At 43.2% G+C, this 22160-nt stretch overlaps 1 protein-coding gene across 9 annotated transcripts in view, besides 3 other annotated features; it reads left to right on the top strand.

Annotated features, from left to right (window-relative positions):
- The window catches only part of C2orf76 (chromosome 2 open reading frame 76), an 86022-nt gene that overhangs the window by 60561 nt on the left and 3301 nt on the right, over positions 1 to 22160 (top strand). For 6 of the 9 annotated variants that reach the window (NM_001322329.2, NM_001322330.2, NM_001017927.4 and 3 more), the window contains one exon: positions 4043 to 4366. The exons of the other annotated variants lie outside the window; for them this stretch is intronic. In NM_001322329.2, coding sequence (NP_001309258.1) covers positions 4043 to 4119 — 77 coding nt within the window. In that variant the 3' untranslated portion in view covers positions 4120 to 4366. Of the gene's footprint in view, positions 1 to 4042; positions 4367 to 22160 lie in introns of those variants that run through there. 9 annotated transcript variants of the gene reach the window in all.
- Positions 11378 to 11878: an enhancer, noted in NCBI's record as "H3K4me1 hESC enhancer chr2:120052289-120052789 (GRCh37/hg19 assembly coordinates)". NCBI's record gives its function as "activates a minimal SCP1, AML or CMV promoter by ChIP-STARR-seq in naive H9 embryonic stem cells {active_cell/tissue: H9 hESC(naive)}" and the evidence as "EXISTENCE:reporter gene assay evidence [ECO:0000049][PMID:30033119]".
- Positions 11879 to 12379: an enhancer, noted in NCBI's record as "H3K4me1 hESC enhancer chr2:120051788-120052288 (GRCh37/hg19 assembly coordinates)". NCBI's record gives its function as "activates a minimal SCP1, AML or CMV promoter by ChIP-STARR-seq in naive H9 embryonic stem cells {active_cell/tissue: H9 hESC(naive)}" and the evidence as "EXISTENCE:reporter gene assay evidence [ECO:0000049][PMID:30033119]".
- Positions 14040 to 14541: an enhancer, noted in NCBI's record as "NANOG hESC enhancer chr2:120049626-120050127 (GRCh37/hg19 assembly coordinates)". NCBI's record gives its function as "activates a minimal SCP1, AML or CMV promoter by ChIP-STARR-seq in naive H9 embryonic stem cells {active_cell/tissue: H9 hESC(naive)}" and the evidence as "EXISTENCE:reporter gene assay evidence [ECO:0000049][PMID:30033119]".

Genomic DNA, 22160 nt, shown 5'->3' with positions numbered 1-22160 from the left:
TCTACTACTGTTGTCTTTCGAATCTGGTCTGGTTTAAGAGAGAAATTGTGGCTGGGTAACTCTTCCAAAGCCAGTTGTGTTTCATTGGAAACATTTTAAAACAAGATACAGCGGCCAAACTCTAAGTGTTTATCTGAGGGAAGCATTCTCGGCAAGCCAGGTCCTGTAATAATTCCAGAACTCCCTCGTGGTTCGTTTTCATTTTGCGTGTCACTTCTGTCATCTGCCCCCAACTGGAACCCTGTCGTTCACGCCTCGCCCCTTTGGGTGATCTTGTCTGTACAGCTAATATTGTGGGATTCTGTGGCTCCCCCTTCTCTTTCGGGATGATGTTTGATTTGTGTTTCCTTAAGGTGTGAGTCCCATTCCCTTTCTTTTTCTGGGTAGCAATATTTTAGGTCATGCGTGTTTTCTTCCTTCGACAGTATGTTATGGTGGCCGTTCTTCACTCTTACATAGAAACAGTGATAATCTGGTTACTCGGTAATGTGGGTGTCGGACCCAGGAAACTGGGGGATTCCAGAAGCAGGACTCAGAGTGAACCTCTGTAGAGTGTTTCCCGTTTTACCTTCCCACACCATGGTGGAAATTACAGGCATGTACCCAGTCTATCAAAGACCGAGGTTTTTTTTGTTTTTTTTTTTTTTTGTTGTTGTTTTTTTTTTTGGCTAGTTGTTTTCTTCAAACTGTAGTTTGAAATCTTCTCTGCCAGCAGATCCAAAACAAATATTTGAAGCAAGTCATGAAATAAAAGGCACAGCACTTGGGACGTCTGTTGGTGATGAAAACTTAGAAATATAACTCAGCTGTGAGCACAGCTTTGAATGATTTATAGATTAGGATTTTATGACATTTGGGAGGCTAGGCTATACTCCTAGAGCGGGAGAGAGGGTGAAACTTTGTCCTTTTGGTCTCAGATTGCCACAGAAGCCACACCTCGCCCTTCCTGTATTTTTTTTTGTCAACAGTGTGCAGTTATTGTCACATGTCAGCTTCCAAGATTGTGGATTTTCTGTACCACAAAATCAGTGCGTGTGTCTCAGGCTCCTTTTTCCAGACAACAGGGGCTGTGCCTCATACTACGTTGGTGCTGACTAGCATGAGGCTAGGGACTCAGACATATGGGTAAATCCTTGTTGATAGATGAGTTTATTGAGATAAATTAGTTTAAGAGTTTAAATACATTGCATTTAATTTTTCTTGGGATTTTATACTTAAAATCGATTGTTCTTATATTCTTTCATTTAAAGTCATTATCATTATGTTCCTGTTAAAGTTGTGTGTGTGTGTGTGTCTTGTCTGTCTGTCTGGAAGCATTATAAAATGATTAATTTTATATCCAAAGTTTGAAAGCCCTAGCTTGTGTTTATTTCATTAAACTTGAACATCAGTATTAAAAGGATCCTGCAAATGTATTTGGAGGGTTCTTGGTTTCATTTGATAGTAAGACGAAGGGATGAAGTGGCAGTGTATTTATTGGATTTTAGATTGCACATTCATTTCAGATTCCCATGCCAAGGCACTCTGCACCTGACTGCACTGCCGCCTGCAGCACATTTAATTTAAAATCAGGTGCCCTGGGGGACCAGCACAAGGTAGACTTCCTGAGGGTTCATCCCCAGCCAGTTTTAAAGGAGCCATTTTAAATAGTATTTGGGAAGCAGGAATTTAAGGGATAATGGTGGAAAGTGATGATGTAGAAACCTTAAAAATCATTTATAATTGGTTTTCACATAAATTGGCAAATAAATTTGCAGCATAAGTCCCTGAAATCATTCTCTGAAACATTTTCCACAGAGTCTTACAGATGTAAGAAAACATTATATTCTACTTCTTCTTAAGGACCACATTACTAAAATTTAAAACCCATTTAATGTTTTACTTTTGAATGTTTGGAGTAAATTTTAATTTGTGTGTTTTCCAATTTGTTAAGGGTGAAAAATTTTTTAAATCAGCCTGAAGTATTATAGTTTAACCCATTTGTTTACCTAGATTTCCTGAAAACAAGTGCAGTCATCTGAAAATAAAATCTTTACACTGCAGACTCTCATTTTGAGAGCTAGCATAAATGCCTTATGTAAATAATGGATTGATGTTTCAGTTAACTGGATCCAAAAGAACCTATGTGTCAAAACAGAACTCCTTGCTTTCCAGCAGCTTCTCTGAACCTACTATTGCTGAAGAGCCACACAACATATTAGTTTCTCAAAAGGGGTTCAGATAAATGTCAACTGCAGTAAGTGAAAATTGTAATTACAGTTAGCGTGGACTGAGCGAAGTGCTGTGTGGGCAAAGCACTGTGTAAAGTTCTGTATGTAAATAGCACATCACAGATAAAACCTTGCTCTGTGATTATTAAGAACAGGGTGTCTTTTGCTCATTCTTCATTAGAAGGTTGATTAGAATCACTTGCAAATTATATACATCTACCTCTGGGCATGCTTTGCTTCAAAAAAGGAAACCCCAGGAGCTTTTTCTATAAGGGATAGATTTCCAAATATCTTTGAATATTGAAGTTTTTGAAGCTCTCTTTCTTGATTTTCTTTTTCCCACTGATTCCAAGTGTGGAGGAGTCTTTTACCCATTCTTTTAGATGCCACTTTCTTGTAAAATTTAACTGTACCTTAACTTACTGTTTGCACAGGGTGCATCTTTTTACAGCTCCTCCTTATTGATCTCCAGTTTCTCTGTGCTGTATCCCCCACAGGCTCCTTGTCATGCGAGGTTGCAGTCTGATTTTCATCTACTCAGATTAAATTTAATCTTGAAGATATAGTAGAGGACTGGAATGAGGATCTGTGACTATGGGTGGCTTTATTTTCTTCTTTTGACACTTGTTTATTTTCTGTAATGAGCATGGGTAGCTTATGATTAACAAACATTAAATTGGATATTCTTGAAAACAGCAAAAACATTTTTAATGAAATGGCATGCTAATCTCATTAATTTCATTATTTTGTGATAAAGTCTAATGATGAGATGAGAGTTGTAAACTAAGAGACGAGTGGTAATCCTTGGCACCCTTTCTTATTATGCTATTTATTTGACTTGGAGAGTTTTACTTGTCTGTTTTTAGAGAGTATGTTAATTGAGTGCTCAGTATGCATTACGAATAATCTTGTCTGTTTTCTTGTGGAGATTCTGAAGGCCCTTTTGCTCTTTCTGTAAAAGCCAAGCAGACTGTATTAACTTCTGGTTTAATTTGAAAAATGAATGTGGAACTTGTTGGCACAACACCTTAAAGAATTGCATGTTTAATAACTGGAAGGCTTTCCATCAGATTTGTCTCTAGCCTGAATTAATAATGTTGCTGACTTATTGTTATAGAAGACGCAGTCCTTGACCTGCTAGGTTGAAAGAATTGTGACTGCTCTGAACCTTCATGGGTCCTTTAGCTGTGCCATCTCCCTTGTGAATAATTAGAGGTATTTGAAGGTATTGAGGTAGAAGCCAATTTGTGTCTTTCACTTTGCATATTGTTGAAGCCGCATGAATTAATCATAAGCAGGGCAAAAAATTAACTTCTTCAGACACATATTTTGATGGGTCATGAGGGAGAATGTAAAGTGATCTGTAAAATATTCTACTGATCCTCTAAGTATTAAATTATTATACCTACAGGCTAATTTCAGGGGGGGAAAAGAGTTTTCCCTCCCCTTCCTTCAGTACCTGAGTAGCATATTTGAGAAAAAAATCAAGGTTTTTTATTTCCTAGCACTGTAAAAAAGACTGTAAATGAGCAATTTTATGATTTCCTGAAAACCAGATTCTTGTATTAACTCTTGATTTTAATTTTTGGTTTTTTATTTTTTGTTCTTTTTTACTTTTAAATCATTTGAGGTTTTGATTCTTAAAACTTCACCTGAAACTTCTTGTTGATTTGGTAAAATGCATTGTGCGACCCAACAAATAACTCATCTTTTTCACTTTGGGCATCTGAAGCTATTCTGAAATACCGAATCAAAGTCATATGGATTTCCATACTTGTTTAAAATTTAGATTTACATTAAAATCTTTTTTTCCATTTTCTGTTTTTTTTCAGCCAGTGAAACTGAAATTGCATTCTTCTGTGAAGAAGATTATAAGAACTACAAAGCTAATCCCATTTCATCCTGGTGAAAACATCTCGAGGGCTTCCTTTTTGCATACCTGTATTAAGCTCTTTATTCCACTGCTGAATTTTTGAAATTGACAAACAAATCTTAAAAAATTAATCCCAGGCTATACTCTTTGAGCTAAAATCTGGTTATTTCTTTCTCTTCAGGTCTTTCCTTCTCTCTTTCTTTTTCTTTGTTGTTGTAAAATAATATATTATGAGAAAAACATTTGATCTTTTTAAAGGGAAATAAATTGTTATTAAAAATTATTGTGGAATATTGATTCTTAAATTATAATTTGTTTTCTAAAATTAGGAATTATTTTTGTGACTTGCATGTAGAGCTCCTTAAAAAGATTCTAAGACTAAGATCATACTGTTTATTGTATATTTTTTCTGTAGTTTCTAATTAGAGCAACTGTTTCTGTCTGTGGCTACCAGAAATTCTGAGTTTCTTGACCTTCATGGCTACCTTTTAGTTCAGGGTGTGTGATACATACCACCATATGTGCAATTGAATTGTGTATATTTTAGGGAGGTTTTATGATGTAGGAAGGTTACTTTTTTTTTTTTTTTAAAGTATTGCAGCCTATACAAATAATGTTGCTGATTTTTTTTTTTCTTTTCTTTCTTGAGCTGTGTTTTCCATCTTCAGGAAGAAACTATCATAGAATCAAACTCATTTATTTGGAGAGAGGAAGCGGCAGGATGCTTGCACTTCTGGAAGAAAATTGTTCATTGAGAACAAGTCTATGTCCTGGAAGATACATTCCTTCTAAATAATATAATACTTGTGGTTCCTGATTATGGCTGACCGCCAGCACCTGTGGAGTCCTTATTTCAGAGGCCTTTCAGTCAGGCTGCATTTAATCAGAACTCCTGGAGAGCTTAGCTAGCTCTGCCATTGCTCCCTGAGTCCTGGAGAGCTTAGCCAGCTCTGCCATTGCTCCCTGAGTGCCGGAGAGCTTAGCCAGCTCTGCCATTGCTCCCTGAGTGCCGGAGGGCTTAGCCGGCTCTGCCATTGCTCCTTGAGTCCTCAGAGTTGCCAGGAGGGCAAATTGGTTTCATTATGGTCACGTCTAACTTAAGAAAACCTATGATTTCTTAACAAATCAACTTTGAAACTCTGATTAACATGATTAGAAGATGCCTTGCTTTGTTGAAAAAGTTAATAGGGTCTTCTTTAAGATAAATTCTACTTATTTTATTCATTGTTTCATTCAGGAGCAAAGTGTTGAATACACAGATGATGTAGTTTTGGGGGAGTTAATAAAGAGGAAAATAAGACCCAGTTTTTGCCTCAGTGAATGGAGAAAGACATAGTACAAGCAAATGATTTTAAGAATAGCAGAAAAAGCTGCCATCAGAGCATTGTTGACAGAAATTAGTTGTGTGTGTGTGTGTGTGTGTGTGTGTGTTTTTAAGAAGTACCAGTTGAGCTGTGTCTTAGAAGATTGAATGGGAATTTTTGCTTAGAAGAAAAGAAGGGAAAGGCTTTCTGGAAGAGGGAATAGCATACACAAAGGCAAAGGACTGTGAAAGAGCTTGAGGTTTCAGGAGAAAGCGCAAATTTTAGTGTCCCTGACTTTTATAGATGGTGCAACTTAATGATGTTTCGACCTTATAGTGGTATGAAAGCAGTAGGCATTCAGTAGAAACACTGAGTACCCATACAGCCATTATGTTTTCCACTTTCAGTGCAGTATTCAATAAATTACATGAAATATTTAATACTTTACAATAAAATCAGCTTTGTGGTAGATGATTTTGCCCAACTCTAGGCTAATGTAAATGTTCTGAGCATATGTAAGGTAGATTAAGCTAATGCAATGTTTGATAGGTTAGGTGTATTAAATGCATTTTTCACTTAGATAATATTTTCAACCAACAATGAGTTTATTGGGACTAACCCCATTGTAAGTTGAGGAGCATCTATACAGGAGTGTAAAGTACATGGAACAGAGTAGAGGAAGATAAGGCCAGAAAGGTAGGTTGAGGTAGGCCTTACAAGTCATGCTAAGGAGTTAGAACGGTATCTAGTAGGTAGATGGGAGCCAGTAGCATGATTTAAACAGGTATTTGATTCCATTTATATTTTAGAAAGTGAGCTTTGTCAGCAATGTCCAGGTGGCAGAAAGACTAGAAGACATCATTGAGCAGGTGAAGTTTGGAAGGCCTGGCCTAGGGCAGGGGCCGAGGGGAAGAGGAGGATTGGGGAGGTTCTTGGTGTTACCATGTGATCGTGCGTTCCGTGGCAAATATGGTGTGGTAGTTAATTTACATATGTTATCTCATTTGACTTTTACCACAGTTCTTCAATGGTAGCATGTATATTTATAGATGAAGAAATTGGGGCCCAGAGAGGTAAAGTTATTTGCTCAAGAGAATGCAGTCATGTGCAATGGGATTGGAACCAAATCTGTCTTAAAATCCTGACTTCCCCCATTCCATCCTGCAGCCTCCCAGTGGAGACCTGAGGTAGAATGACCTTAGAATGTTTGGGACCTGGTGAATGCCTGGACGGGGATAGTGTGGGGAGGAAGGAATGGAGACTTCAGTGATTCTTGCTGGAGTTGAGTGGCTGGATTAATGATGGCAGCAGTAATCCAAATAGGGAACTCAATAAGTAGAGGTTAAAACATATTCCATTTGTTTGCTTTGCACGCATTCAATTTGCATACCAGGCTTTTTTAAAATATAAAATTAAGCATATCTTTACCTGTGCATTTTTAAGTAGATAATGCAAAAATATGTATGTATAGTACCTTTTTTGGTATGTATTTTTCTTATAAAAGGTACATATAGAGTATTTTCACTTATAAATACAGAAAAAAAATCAAAAATAAATGTATCAACAGCAACCACCAGAAACTAGAAGAGGCAAAGAAGGATTGTTCCCTAGAGCCTGCAGAGGGAGCAGAGCCCTGCTGACACCTGGATTTCAGACTTGTAGCCTCCACAGCTATGAGAAAAGACATTTCTGTTGTGTTTACAATAAATAAAAATGTATTGTGACTAAAAAGGACTTTTACCAGGAATGGAAGATTGATTCAAAATTAGAAAATCTCTCAATATACTTTTCAAAATCTATATAGGAGAAAAAATATTATGTTTATCTCAATAGATGCCAAAAGGCATTTGATGATATTCTTGCTCATGCATATATAAAAATTAGCAAGGGAAAGAAATACCCTTAACTTGATGAAGTTTGCTCATAGAAAACCTACTTAATGGAGAAGTGTTTCAGCAAATCTATTAGATATGAATAAGAGGCTGCGGCTGGGTGCATTGGCTTAGGCCTGTAATCTCAGCCCTTTGGGAGGCTGAGGCGGGAAGATTGCTTGAGCTCAGGAGTTCGAGACCAGCCTGGGCAACAGGATGAAACCCCGTCTCTACAAGAAAAAAAAAAAAATTAGCTGGGTGTGGTAATTTGCCCCTGTAGTTCCAGTTACTTGGGAGGCGGAGGTGGGAGGATCCCTTGGGTCCAGGAGGTCAAGGCTGCAGTGAGCTGTGATTGCACCACTGCACTCCAGCACAAAAAATATGAATTAGACAAGAATGAACACTATTGCCAGTACTATTCAGTATGTTTCTGCAAGTCTTATTGTAGCCAGTAGGAAAAATAGTAAGATTCTCAGATATTGGAAAGGAGTAGGCAAAACATTCATTTGTAGACAATATGATTGCAAGAAGATTAAGTTTTTTTTGAACTAAGAGACTTGAGTGCTGAACCTAAAATGTATTGTTCACAAAAGCTATAAAATAGTGTTATTAGATGAGTATAAAAGACCTGAATAGAGATAGATTACATGTTTATAGATGGAAGATACCTACCTAATCCATAAATAAATGCAGTCTCAATCAAAATCCCAAAGGATTTATCATGGAACTTGACAAATTGATTTTTAAATTCATTTGGAAGAAGAATATGCAAGAATAGCCAAGATCAATTTGGAAAAACAAAACGTAGGCTAGAAGAAAGGGTGGTTGCCTACTAGATGTCAAAATAGATTCAGTGATCAAAACAAGTTGGTAATGATACAGAACTAGATAAAATGATCAATGGAATAGAATATGGAAACTAATAAAATTTACATGGAAACAATAGCTAATAAAGGTAGTATTTGTAATTATGAGGAAAAGGAAGATTATTTAGCACATGGCCAAGTATTTAAAAAAAACAGTTAAGGGTCCTACTTCATACCATTCACTAAAATTTCAGATGGGTTAAATAACTAAACATGAAAAACAAGATGATGAGTTTATTAGAAGAAAAAATGGATTATATTTGTGACCTTGGGGTAGAGAAGGCCTTCTGAAAACACAAAAGGCGTATGCCATAATTTCATAAGGAGAATGTATTTGTGTTAAGAATGACTAAAAGCAAGCCAGGTGTGGTGATGCATGCCTATAGTTTCAGCTACTCAGGAGGCTGAGGGGGGCGGATTGCTTGAGCCTAGGAGTTTGACACCAGCCTGGGCAACATAGTGAGACCCTGTCTCATAAAAAATGAATTAGTAAAAACAAAACCAAAACATGTATAGAAATCAAAAGAAGCAGAAAAAATCCATCAGGCAATTGCCATGAACATTTTGACATATTTCCATCTAGGTTATTTTTTCTATGTCTATTTTTTAGAGTTTCTGAGCTTTTTCATGTGTTTTAAGTCACATTTGCTTGTTAAAACAACCAATTCTGGTCCAGGCATGGTGGCTCACACCTGTAATCCCAGCACTTTGGGAGGCCGAGGCCAGTGATCATTTGAGCTCACGAGTTTGAGTCCAGCCTGGGCAACATGGTGAAACCACATCTCTACAAAAATTAGCTGGGCATGGTAGTGCATGCCTGTAGCCCCAGCTACTGAGGAGGCTGAGGAGGGAGGATGGCTTGAACCTGGGAGGCAGAGGTTACAGTGAGCTGAGATCACACCACTGCACTCCAGCCTGGGCTATAGAGCCAGACCTTGTCTCAAAACAACAACAACAAAATTCTGAAGATTAAAAAAAAGTAAAAATCCTCTTCTTGCAAGGTCACTCCTTTGCATAGCTTGGTGAGCATACTTTCAGACCTTTTTTTCTTTTTTTGCACATATGTTATTTAAACATATAGGTATGCATTTTAAAGCATTGTCATGTTATGCATTTCAAAGCATGATCACTCTCTTAAAGATGGTTGAGAAGTCTCATTTTTTAAAAAATCACCATTGTGTGTCAGACACTGTATGTATTTTATATTATCTCATTTAATCCACACAGTAGACTGTGCTAGAGCTCTGAGGAGTCCTGGTTTCCCCATCTGTGAGATGGAGGAGATAATAAGGGCCACTTTGCAGAGTTTTGTGATCAAGTGGGACATTGCCTACAAGGCACTTACGGACAGAGCCTAGCAGGAAGTGAGCACTTATTACATGTCTTCGGGTACTTATTGTGAGAGTGAGTGCAGCAGCAGCAACTTCATTTTGGAGCAAGGAACCCTCACCCTCAGAGATTAAGCCACTTGTCCAAGGCCTAAGATCTGATAAGTCAAAGAGCAGGTCTCTTCTGGCTTCAAATCCTACTTTCTGCCACTCTTTGAAAACAAAGGGAGTTGGGCACTAGGAGAAACATGGTAGAAAGGTGGTCAACCACAGCCAAGAGACAGTTCCCCATCTGCATTGTTGGCGCCCCTTTACAGGCATTTTTCTATTCTCCTTTGAAGAGAACTTGCCTTTGCCAAAGGAACACTTGGGCCCTGGTCCCACGAGTTGGGCCAGGTTTCATGTGACTTTGAGGAACTTCTTTGCCGTAGCAAACGGGTTTTCTTTTCCTTCTTTTTCTGCCTGCCCCAGACACAGGCAGGAGAGATGGTGAAGTTCCTGCCTATTTGGACACCCAGAGAACTGGCCTGGCCTGAGCCCCTTTGGAAACCTTCTGCTGATTGCTGGGGACAAGGGGGAAGAGCAGGGGCTTCCCCATTTCTGCTAATGCATATTGGGGCATCGTGGGCCTGAGTGTCCAAGGATCTGTACTTGGGACCCCTCTGCCCACTAGAGAAGTTGTCCAGCAATCTTGTCATCTTTTTCTCACTGTACGTGTACACATGCATACATGTATGCATGCATGTGTGTTGGGAGAAGGGCTCTGATTATTGGTTCTGGGCAGTTTCACCTCATTTTGCTTTCAGAAACTCTCATGATTGCTCAGAGTAGCAAAGCTAATTGAAGTGGAATATTGACTTGATTGGTCTGAGGTTAATATTTTGAACTCCACCATCAAGACAGTGGGCCTTTCTGTCTGCAGGCCTGGAAAGAACCCATCTCTCACGTGAAGCCACAGTATGCATCTCATGGCCACTCTGTACCTTTCACTCTGCACTTCTAGCATTTATAGGAGTGGAAGAGGAAGGCACGACATTTGTCATTTCTTTCCATCAAAGGAGATATATTTATTCAATGAATCAGACCTGAGACCACTTTCCCCATCCCCAAATGTGCATTTTGGGCTAGAATATGAGCATAAGAGTTTCGATAATGGCCTTTGGAGGCTCATTTGTTGATCATTAGTCAGCGAGAGGGTCATATAGTTGTCATGACTTAAACATACAGGATGTGTGTTGTGCTGCTCGACGGTGTGATTTGTTAGGGAGCAGTGACCCTCCTCCATTCCGTGCTGCTGCCACTTTGGATGAGTGTTCAGTGAATAATGTCATTCGTAGGCCATGAGATTTTAAGATGGAGAAAATCCATTTCAGGTCCCGGATGAAGTCATGTGACTCTTTCAAAATAGGTAAGGGCAGACCGTTTTGGGAATGCTGCCTTAGAGACTCAAGCTTTTGGTTTTAACTTCATTTCTATTATGTCCAATACACAGGAAAAAAACTGTCGTCCATAATGGCATTCTTGTGATCTATCAAATCTGGTCGATCAAAGCAGTCACCAGAGCACTCTTAAGGCTGTGACTCCTTCACAGGACTAAGGCAAGTGGCAGGGATGGAGGGTGGTGAGGGCTTCTTCCCCTCCATCTCTGATTTGGTGGGGAATGAGAGCAGTAAGATCGGGAGCTGTCATCTTCAATCCACTCAGTGTTAATTCTGTTTAGCAAAGCACAACAACCTCATTTAATTTCCTGATCAGTGCCCCTTCCTCCTCCCTCCATCCTGTGACCTTGAGGCTTATGCCATCGGACTATACATTATTGCCGTCCCCTAACCTTGTTGCCGACACCTGCAGGCCCTGTGCCACTCTCCCTTATTACCTGATGATTTTAGCTCCTGGCTGACCGCAGCTATCTCTCGTAATTCAGGATAGACATAGACAAACCTTCCTGTACCCTGGGGCCTCTTAGGTCATTGAAGAACTCACTGCAACTTTCTTGTCGTCTCTGTCTCAGCCACCTCCTCCTGGAGGCACACCTTTGCCGTAGTCATTAATAACTGCACCCTAGTCCACAACACCGTCTCAATATCCACCTCCCGTTCTCTGACTGCTGTCTCCTGACTTTCCATTTCTCTGCCTCTGGTGCCCCCTCCAAGGCTCTTCAACCCCCACCTTCACTGATCCTGCTGTCTTCTCACTATCCCACTCCCTGACTTGAGATCCTCTATGCCTTCTCATCAATCTCTGCCTAGACCCTTGCTGCCCGGACCCCTCTGGCCCCAGGCCTAACCCTGCCGCGCTCCGCCTTCTACACCTGCACCTGAACAGCTAGCTGTACTGCGCGTGGTGGGGTGGAGGGCGAGTGCTGACTGGCCACGCTGTCGGTCATGGCTGCTGAGCTGCAGTCAGGTCCTCACGCTGCCCTGCAGTTCCGCTCGCTCTCCAGGTTCCTTTAGACCCTCAACTCTGAGACCCCTCCTCTCACTCCCAGCTGCTGTCTTCACTTCGGGCCATCCTAGACAACATGCTCCTGCTCCCGGACATGTCCCTCACCTGCCTTCCTGTGTGGGTGGGCGAGCGAGTAGTGCTATCTGTCCTCCCTCGTGCCTGGGCTCCCCACCTCTGGAACACCAATGAGCACACTTCAGCGTTGTCCTCCCTCTTCCACACCATCAAGTTCTGCACCCCACCAGCATACGGACAGCTCTCCCTTCCGAACCCTACCACAAGAGCCGCCCCATCTTCCCTTCACAGCCAAATTCCTGAACCGAGTTCTCCATACCCTCTTTCCTCCATGAGGGCTTCCGTCCAGCACTCTGCTGAGACAGCTTTTGCCAAGGTCACCAAAGGTTCCTGTTGCCACAGGAATAGGATTCTGTCTTGGAATTGCTTCACCTCTCAGCAGTGCTGGACACATGGAATCAACTGACACCCTTCTTGCCAACACTTGCTTCGCTTGGCTTCACTGGTCACTCCTCCCCATCTCGTTTGCTGGTTCTTCCTCATCCCTTATCCTTTACGATGTAGAAGGCCCCAGGGCTCGGTCCTCTGACTTCTCTAATTATATCTTCTCCCTAGATGACCTCATGCGTGCTCCCAGCTTTAAATAACAACTAAATGCTGCAGACTCCGGATTTCAGTCCACAGCCCAGCTGCCCGCTGGAGTCCCTGCTGGGTGCTCCCCATCCCTGGTGAGGTGGCTGATAGGTATCCTCTGATAGATGCCTCAGATGATAACACACTCCAGCTGAGCCTCTGAGCTTTCTCCCTGAGGGTGGACCATGCTCAGTCTTCTCCACTGAAGGACATGACCTCCAGTCCTCCATTTGTTTAGGCCAGAAACCTTGGATATATATCTCTTTTTTCTTTTACCCCCACAGCCAGGCCATCAGCCAGTTCTGTCTGCTCCACGGGCGTTCAGAGTATATCCAGGGCCCAGGCGCCTCTCACCTTTTTCACTGCTACCACTGGGTCCAAGGCACCACCATTCTTACCTGGACTATTGCAGTCACCTTCCTTCCAACTGGGTTTCACTTCTCTCTCACTTCTACCCCACTACAATTCTTCCTGTTCTCATTCCTGCCCCGCTGCAATTCTTCACCCAGCCATCACAGTGATTCTTCTAGAACATGAGTCAGATCCTGTCATGCCTCAGTTCAAAACCCTTACTCAGAGAAAGAACCTTGGCCTTGGTCCTCTTCCTGGTGCACACCAAACATATGCACGCCCCAGGGCCAGCTGGTAAACATACACATGCCCCAGGGCCTTTGCACTTGCTCTTCCCTCTGTTTGCAGTGACTTTTCTACATTTTTTGCATGGTTTTCTCCCTTTCTGTCAGCTGTCTGCTCAAATGCCATAAAAGAGGCCTTCTCTGCTTATCCTAGATAAAATAGCAAATGCTTGCCCTTGCAAAACTCATTTGTCTATCTCTGTTTTACTTTTTTAAAAATCCTTTTCTGTTCCGTCTTCTGCTATTAGAATGTCTCCAATGTATAGAACAGTGGCTGGCACTTCATAGGCCAGCAGGGATGTTTCTGGGATGAGAGAATGACTTTAAAATTATATTTGTTTTTTGTTCGTTTGTTTGTTTTGTTTTGTTTTGTTTTGAGACAGAGTCTCATTGTGTCGCCCAGGCTGGAGTTCAGTGGCACAATCTCGGCTCACTGTAAGCTCTGCCTCCTGAGTTCAAGCGATTCTCCTGCCTCAGCCTCCTGAGTAGCTGGGACTACAGGCGCATGCCACCACACCCAGCTAATTTTTGTATTTTTAGTAGAGGCAGAGTTTCACTATGTTGGCCAGGCTGGTCTCAAACTCCTGACTTCAGGTGATCCGCCTGCCTTAGCCTCCCAAAGTGCTGGGATGACAGGCATGAGCCACCGCACCTGGCCTAAGATTGTATTTGAATGTTAAAGCGAAACTTTACAGCTTGTTGAAGCTCATCCCATAGCAATGTATTAACAGATCTGTGTAGACTGAATACACTCTCTAGGAGTTTCTTTAGTTGAAATTAGTCATCCAGATGTGTAAAGTGGTATAGACTGAGCTCTGGAATAATTGGTCAGCAGTCCTGTGTGCATATGTGTTTCAAATGGAGTTGAGGAAATGAGATGAAAACCTGTGTTGAAAGTTAGTTTGTTTTTGTCGGTCTGACTCGGGTCACTGCTGCACTTGCATTTTCATGCGGCTGACAGTTCTTTTCTGCCGCTAGGGCTCTGCGTATGCCCGGAGGCGGTCCTGAGCCTCCTGTGAGGGCTTTTTTACCAGCTGGAAAAAAAACAAAACAAAACTCAAACGCTGTGGTGGTTAGTCACAATAGGCAAGATAAGTGTCCTAGATTGTCATTTGTTTCTGTTTGAACTGTTCCCTGGAAAACTAAGTAGAAAACTGAACAGTGGATTGTACAACTGTACAAATTAAGGCAGAATTTTTTTCCCCACTTGCCTTAAAGCAAAGTTGCTTGTTTTAAAAGTGACCTAGAAGTGAACTTGTGGTGACATTTAAAATTATACAAATTGGAAAAGGCAAATGGTGCACTTTTGCATATATTGGAATCATTTGTCTTTCTGTGTTTGCTTTAGGCAAGCATGAGTGGGAAGAGAGAGCTCCGCTTGGACATAGGCAGCCCGGGGTTGGAAGAACACAGGCATTGTTGCTAGCTTGGAGGTGTGACCTTGGGTGAGCTGCTTGGCCTCTCCAGGTCTCAGTTTCTGGCTCTGTTAAGTGGGGATGATAACACTGACCTTCCAGAATTTCTCTGTGACTTTGTTAAGGTGACCTAGCTCGGTGCCTGACTAAACATATTGTTTTGGGGAATAATTTCTGTTACACTGCTATTTTACAAAGAAATACTACTAATCCCATCGCGCAGAGAGAACATTTAGACACTGAATAGGAGGTTGTCCCCCATGAGTGCTAGGCAGTGGAGCCAGGCCTCTTCCTACAAGGCAGGGGTGTCCGGCTGCTGCCCGTTCTCCCCCTCCACCTGTCAGCTCCAACCACACCACCCAGCAGTGTTCTTGGACCCAGGGAAGGACTCGTTTTTTATTTTCCAAGAACCTTCTCTTCCCATTTCATTTCCCGAGGTGCCTTGCCCTTGGATTCAGCCAGCCCTGAGCACATTACCTGTCACATGTTTCCCTGACATATCCCCTTTCTTCTGGTTGCAATTTTCCCCAATTAGGAGTAATGGGCTCATTAACAACAGCCGGCACTTTAAATTTCCTTTCTATAAGGATAAAGCCGTCCCTTTCACTATTCTCTGGCTGTAACTTGCTTCAGGTGGGATGGGGTGGAGTGAGGTGGTAGAATGAATGGATACACAGCTTGTTCAAGGAAATAGAATCTCTGGGAAGAAAAATCTTGCAAAGGCAGGTTTTGTAGTTAGAATATTCTAGATACCTGCCAGGCACCAGCCGATTAATGCCCAGCCGTTCATCTTTACATCTTGCCGAGCAGCTTCTCCTCGGTATGACACCTTTCCTGCCATATTAGCAGAGCCTCGTTACGCGGAGAAGTCCAGGCTGCAGGTCAGGTGGAGTGGCTCTGCACTTGTCCGCCTTTGCCTACCCTTCAGCCACCAGGTGGCAGCAGAGTCTGTCTGGGCCTGGGAACTGATGAGGCCGAGCCGGTGTCAGTCATTTGTTAAGGACTGTGTTCAATAGGTTTGTCCCCCTGTAAGTCAGCCTTGGCGTCTGATAGCTGAAAGTCAAAGCCATCAGCTTGTAGATGGGGTGGCATGTTGTACTAGTGCTCAACAGCGACCATGCAATTGCTACTGCCTAAAATTTTATTTTTATTTTTATTATTTTTTTGAGGCGGAGTCTCACTCTGTCGCCCAGGCTGGAGTGCAGTGGCACGATCTCGGCTCACCGCAACCTCCGCCTCCCAGGTTCAAGCGAGTCTCCTGTCTCAGCCTCCTGAGTAGCTGGGATTACAAGCGTGCAATGCCACGCCAGGCTAATTTTTGTATTTTTAGTAGAGACAGGGTTTTGCCATGTTGGCCGGGTTGGTCTCGAACTCCTTACCTCAGGTGATCCACCCGCCTTCGCCTCCCAAAGTGCTGGCATTACAGGCATGAGCCACCACTCCCAGCCTAAAATTTTATTTTAAAAGTCAATGCTTAATTATTTCAAAGCCAATACCTAACTTTAGTCAGTTTTACCTCTATAGTCTTATTTCCTTCTTTTTCTTTTATACCACTCTATTTAATGATGGGCCATTTCTAAAAAGAAGACTAATAATGTGTCAACGCTTTGGAAAACGTCCCTGTATATTTGTTGAGGATTCCTTAAAGCTGAAGGTTGAAAGGTCGTGAGCCGGTTTCTATGGCTTCTGTGTTAAATGCTTCCTAGTACAACAATTGATAGGCAGCCTCCTCCATTTGGCCCAGGTGAGGTGCTTAAAAAATTCCTTCTCAAACCAATTGCAGGGAGACGTTCTTCTGCTTGGTGGAGGGGCTTGGAAGCTGTCCTTTAGCTTGGGCATATGTGAGCCTGTAAGCAGTGCCCAGAGCTTTGGGGTCAAATGGTGACTCCCATGCAGGGGCAGGGACGCAGGAATTACTTTGCAGAGGGAATGTCCCTCTTCCCTTCTGAAGACTGAATGTTCTCACACATAATTAGGCAATGCCAGTAACTCTTTGGATAGTGTACAAAACCCTATGTTTGTTTCTAGGTTATTTTAAAAATTAAGAAATCTCACTTTAAGGCAGCAGACAGAATAAAAACCAGTCTGCCCTGGTGCAGAGCGGTGCCTCTGTGGTCTCTCTTCCTGGCTTAGCTGGGTGTGGCTGACAGCAGAGAACTACTACCGGCAGAGGGCTGAGTTGGGGCTACGAGCGGGGCCTGAGACAAGGTCTAAAGTGGCAGGGTCTCTTTATAGCTCTGTGGACCCCCTTGGTGTCTAATTCCAGTCCCCAGTCCTGTCAAAGCCACCCTGCACTTTTTTTTTTTTTCTTGAGACGGAGTCTCACTCTGTCGCCAGGCTGGAGTGCAGTGGTACGATCTCGGCTCACTGCAACCTCCGCCTCCTGGGTTCAATCGATTCTCCTGCCTCAGCCTCCCAAGTAGCTGGGACTATAGGCGCGTGCCACCACGCCCAGCTAATTTTTGTATTTTTAGTAGAGATGAGGTTTCACCGTGTTGGCCAGGATGGTCTCGATCACTTGACCTCCTGATCTGCCCACGTCAGCCTCCCAAAGTGCTAGGATTACAGGCGTGAGCCACTGCGCCCGGCCACCCTGCGCTTTAATGCAGACACCACAGCTGGTAGACGCTTCCAGACTAAGATGTCAAGGAGACTTGGTTAAGTGCAAGATGGAACACAGAAGCTAAACCACAGGAGAGTAGAATCTTAAGAAGGCTGATTTGAGGCAGAGTACAGTATGTCCCTACCTTCTGGCTGCATGAGACCTCCTGACATAGCGCACATTCTGCAGCCTTAAGGCCCCCGTGTTTGCTAGAAATGCGTTGGGACCTGCCTGCAAAGGTCCTGGTAACTGGCCTTCCTCGGGCTCCAAGTCAAAGGGACAGAGTAGTTTCTAGAGCCAGCAATTCTCTCTGTATTCTCTCTTCCTCTCTTTCCAACATGTTGGCTTTTTCAGTGTCTTGGCCCAGGGTTGCTTATACACTTGAAAGTAGAGCAGCTTGAAGACAGATTATTTCGGTTTTCCCTGAAAGCCTTCGAGAGTCAGGGAAATTTTGCTAGAAGGCTTGAGGTGTAAGAGAGGGAGAGGAGGCTGGGGGCTGGAGTGACTCACCAAGGCTGAGGGGATGGAGCTTGTGGGTTCTACCATTGCCACGTGTCTTGTTCTGGGGAGGTGACTTGTCCTCAGAGGGGAATAGCTGACCCTAAGCAGGTGAGTGCCTCCTCTCCAGTCTCTGGCCTGAGCAAGGCCTGCGGCTTCCAGGTTCTGAGGGTGAGTGTCTAGCTTCTGGTGGATGGTGCTTTCTGCCAGTGTCGGGGTTGGAGCTTTCTCTGCTCTTACAATTCCACCCTTCCATCCACTTCCCGCCTTCAAAACTTGGATCAACTCTCTTGTCCTCGATGTCCTCTCTCTGGGTCTCTTTGTCTTCATGAGTTTATGTTTGTATTATCCCCTTACTCCCATCTTAATGGGGTTTTCAGAGGAGATGATGTAAATGAATAATCAGCCTCTCATGTTTAACTTTGGAAATCTGCTTGCTTGCTCTCTCCCTTACTTTTTTAAAATTGAAGTATACTGTAATCCCAGCACTTTGGGAGGCTGAGGTGGGTGGATCACGAGGTCAGGAGATAGAGACCACGGTGAAACCCCGTCTCTACTAAAAATACAAAAAATTAGCTGGGCGCAGTGGCAGGCGCCTGTAGTCCGAGCTACTCGGGAGGCTGAGGCAGGAGAATGGCGGGAACCCGGAAGGCGGAGCTTGCAGTGAGCCGAGATGGCGTCACTGCACTCCAGCCTGGGCGACAGAGTGAGACTCTGTCTCAAAAAAAAAAAAAAAATTGAAGTATAATTTACAGATGGTGAAATGCAAAGATCTTAGATATGCAGTTCTTTGGGTTTTGACAAGTGCACGACCCACATCTAAGTCAAGATGCAGAACATGCCCACCACCCCCAAAACCTCCTTTGTGCCATCACAGTCCCCTCTCTGCCCCTCTGTCATCACCCACCACTGCCCTCTGTCATCAGCCACTACTGCTGTGATTTCTGTCACCATAGGTAAATTTGGGCCTTCATTTTTGAATATTTGAGGGTAATGTATATGGTCCAAATCACTCTCCCAACACAACCAACTAACTGAAGACCAACTCTAATATTATAAGAAATTGGAATTTAAGTAAGAACAATGCCATTTTATTTTAAACACACACAGTTGCGTCCAAATCTAACCTCTTCCTTCAGGAGTAAGGAGAGAAGATGTGTTGTCTTCTAGAATTTCCTTCATAACCAGAACTTCATGTCAGTTAAAAATTTCTGCCATGAAAAAAAACTCAAGGAATCAAGAAAGAGCCTCAATGTCTTCGAACAAATATCACGTCTCCTCAGATCTTCCATGTCATATTCCCCTTTGTTGTTCTCAACAAAAACAGAGACTTCCCATCTTAAAAATGTATATGTGATGTCTTATTAAAAAAAAAAACATGTTATTAGCCCTGCTTTCAAATAACCCTCTAAAGTTGTATACTTGAGGGCAGAGGCCCTTGTGGTGGGGTTGTGGGAGAGGGTCTCGGGCGGTGTGTATGTATGTACATGGGAACCTGTGATGGTGAGCTGGTGGGGACTGAGGTGTGATAGTTGCCTGGTTTCTGGCTGGTAGGCACTTCCATTATGTGGATATTGCATATGTGACAAAAGCCATATTTCAAAATTTCAAGTATTTTTCCAGCAAGGTCCAGCAAGCTCTGCAGGACAAGCCATCAGAAGCGAGACTGAGCCAGGCATAAAACAGCCAGCATTTATCAAGTGCTTGCCCTGTCAGGCCTCACTAAAGCACTTTGCAGATATTTACTCACTACTGCTCACAACCCCTGTGAGGTAGGTACTAGTTATCTGCATCTTACAGATGGGGAAGGGGCACTTGGAGGTAAAGTGACCTGCCCGAGGTTTCCCAGCTCCTAAGTGATGGAGCCTGCCAGAACCAACCATCAGGAGGGACTTCGCAGGTGAAAGAAGGTTCTTCTGCTCACTGGGGGTACTAAGAAGAAATTCCTAGTCCATAGCTGGAGCAAGTGAAACCCTTCTTTGCCTTTCACTACTTGCTGATACCTCCTCAACAGAAGTCAGCTCAGAATTGCTGGAATGAACATCTCATGAGAACGGCCTCCCCTTCCCTTCCCACCGCCATTGCCCTGCTTTGGGCCTCATCATTTCTCATCCTGACCGCAGAGACACTCTCCCGTCTGGTGTCCTTCCCTGCAGACTCTCATCCACCGAGTCCAGCCTTCATGCCGCTGCCAGAGTGATCTTTTAAAAATGCAAGTCTGACTGCTGTATCCCTCCCTGTTCAGAACCATCGGATGGGTCCTTGTTTCCTTCCGAATCACGAGCACACTCTGGCATGGTGTAGTGGGGCTTCTTTGGTTTGATCTCTGGCTACATCTCCAGCTTCTCCTCCAGCTATGGAATTTGGCACCTCCTCCTGTCTCCCCCAGCTCTCCCCTGTCCCCTTACCCTGTTCTCTCTGGGCACACCATGCTGCCACTTTCTCAGACTTCCCACTCTGGTCTCTGAATGTTCCACCAGACTAGCATTCATCCTGGGAGGCACAACCAAGGACCATCTTGTCCTTAAGGTCCTTTCCATCCCACCTTCCCAGCACTTCACAGCCAGGAGACTGGTCCCTGCTCTCCTTTTCATCCTGCTGTGTGCTGGCCAGTCCTCTGGAGCACTGATCACACACTGTGGCCTTGCTTTTTTTTTTTTTTTTTTTTTTTGAGATGGAGTCCTGCTCTGTCACCAGGCTGGAGTGCGGCGGCATGATCTTGGCTCACTGCAGCCTCTGCCTCCTGGGTTCAAGCAATTCTCCTGTCTTAGCCTCCCAAGTAGCTGGGACTACAGGTGCCCACCACTATGCCCAGCTAATTTTTGTATTTTTAGTAGAGATGGGGTTTCACCATGTTGGCCAGGATGGTCTCGATCTCTTGACCTCGTGATCCGCCCGCCTTGGCCTCCCAAAGTGCTGGGATTACAGGCGTGAGCCACTGTGCCTGGCCGGCCTTGCTTTTTTATATACTGACCTTCCCCAAACGATGTGGCTCTCCCTGAGGTTGAAGATCAGGCTTACTCTTGCATCTCCATGGCCTGCACACACTGGGAGTTGATAAATGCAAGGGTCTGTTATTTCTGCATGAATGAATGGATTCACTTTCCTTGCTATACCATATACTCTTCTAAAAGTTACCAGGCTTTCTGGAACTTATATTAAGAAATTCAGATACCAGCAATAATATCCAGGTAACTCAGCCTCTGCCCAAATTGCTTGATGAGATTACCTGTGTCTCAGCACTAGGACCACAATTTTGGTTTCTTTTCCATTTTCTCCATGCCCTGACACAGTGTTGGATATCCACTACCTGTTTAAAATATATGTGCTGATTTGAGTTGGTCAGGTGTTGGGGGTGGGATACGACAGAGAAAATGGGGTCCCAGCTACTGAGGACGCAACACATGAACAGGGAAACGGGACAGATCCTCTTGGGAAAAAGCCCCACTGGGGCCAATTCCGGGGCCTTTTCCTCCACAGCCCGCAGAGATGCCTGTGCACTTCCCCCAAGAAGCTCCTCCAAGTTACGTGACCCTGATGAAGGTCTTCCTTCACCATATGATTTGTTACAGGAAAAATAAGGAAGGAATTTGGAAGCAGTTAAGGTCACTTTGTGCCGAGACTATCGCACTATATCATGTTAAATAAAATGTCAGGTGATAGTTATTGAGTCATTCTTTTCTAATGGTTTTATGCACAGTAGATAATTTTATTATCTACATATGATTTGGATTTGAATAAATTATCAGATTGTTAAGAATTTAATAAGAATATGTAAATACATTTGTATTCCCTATTTAAGTCAACCTAAGAATGAAATGATGAGAATAATGGTATTTTGTGAGGATGGTGGGGGCTTTTTGGTAGATGACCTCCTCTGATCTCCGCCACAATCCTGGAACACAGATATTACATCCCCTTCTTACAAATGAGAAAACTGAAGCTCAGACAGGTTAATTTGCCTAAGGTCTCCCATCCCAGAATACGGGTTCAAATTTTAGAGGTTTTTCACCTTATGCTACCTATAGATATTCAAATCTTAATTTATTCACATGAAATGATGGGTTAAATCGTTTACAAAATTATCAACCATAAGATTCTGTTGACAAATACCCATGAAATATTTACTTTTAAAAATGTCCTGTCCATGCATATGAATTTCAGTTTTAAACATGAAAAGTATTTTAGCTTTTAGGTTGCAAAAAAAAAAAAAACCAAAATCCCAAAACAACCCACCCACTATATGGAGAGTATACAAAATGAACACAGGCTGATGATGTACATCAGTGTTTCCGTATAGTAACAGGAAACCTGGAACGGTATTTTTGGGGTGGAGGTAATTTGGTAATGTATGCCCAGATAAAAATTATGCAAGCCCGGTGATCCACTGAGGCCTCTTGGGGGCTCTATGGGTGCAGTGACAGGGACGCAGGAGTGCAGGGAGGGGCTCTGGGTTGCCAGAGAC

Source organism: Homo sapiens, chromosome 2 (assembly GCF_000001405.40).
Source record: "Homo sapiens chromosome 2, GRCh38.p14 Primary Assembly".
Classification (NCBI taxonomy): domain Eukaryota; kingdom Metazoa; phylum Chordata; class Mammalia; order Primates; family Hominidae; genus Homo; species Homo sapiens.
This window is presented reverse-complemented; position numbering and strand designations above follow the sequence as displayed.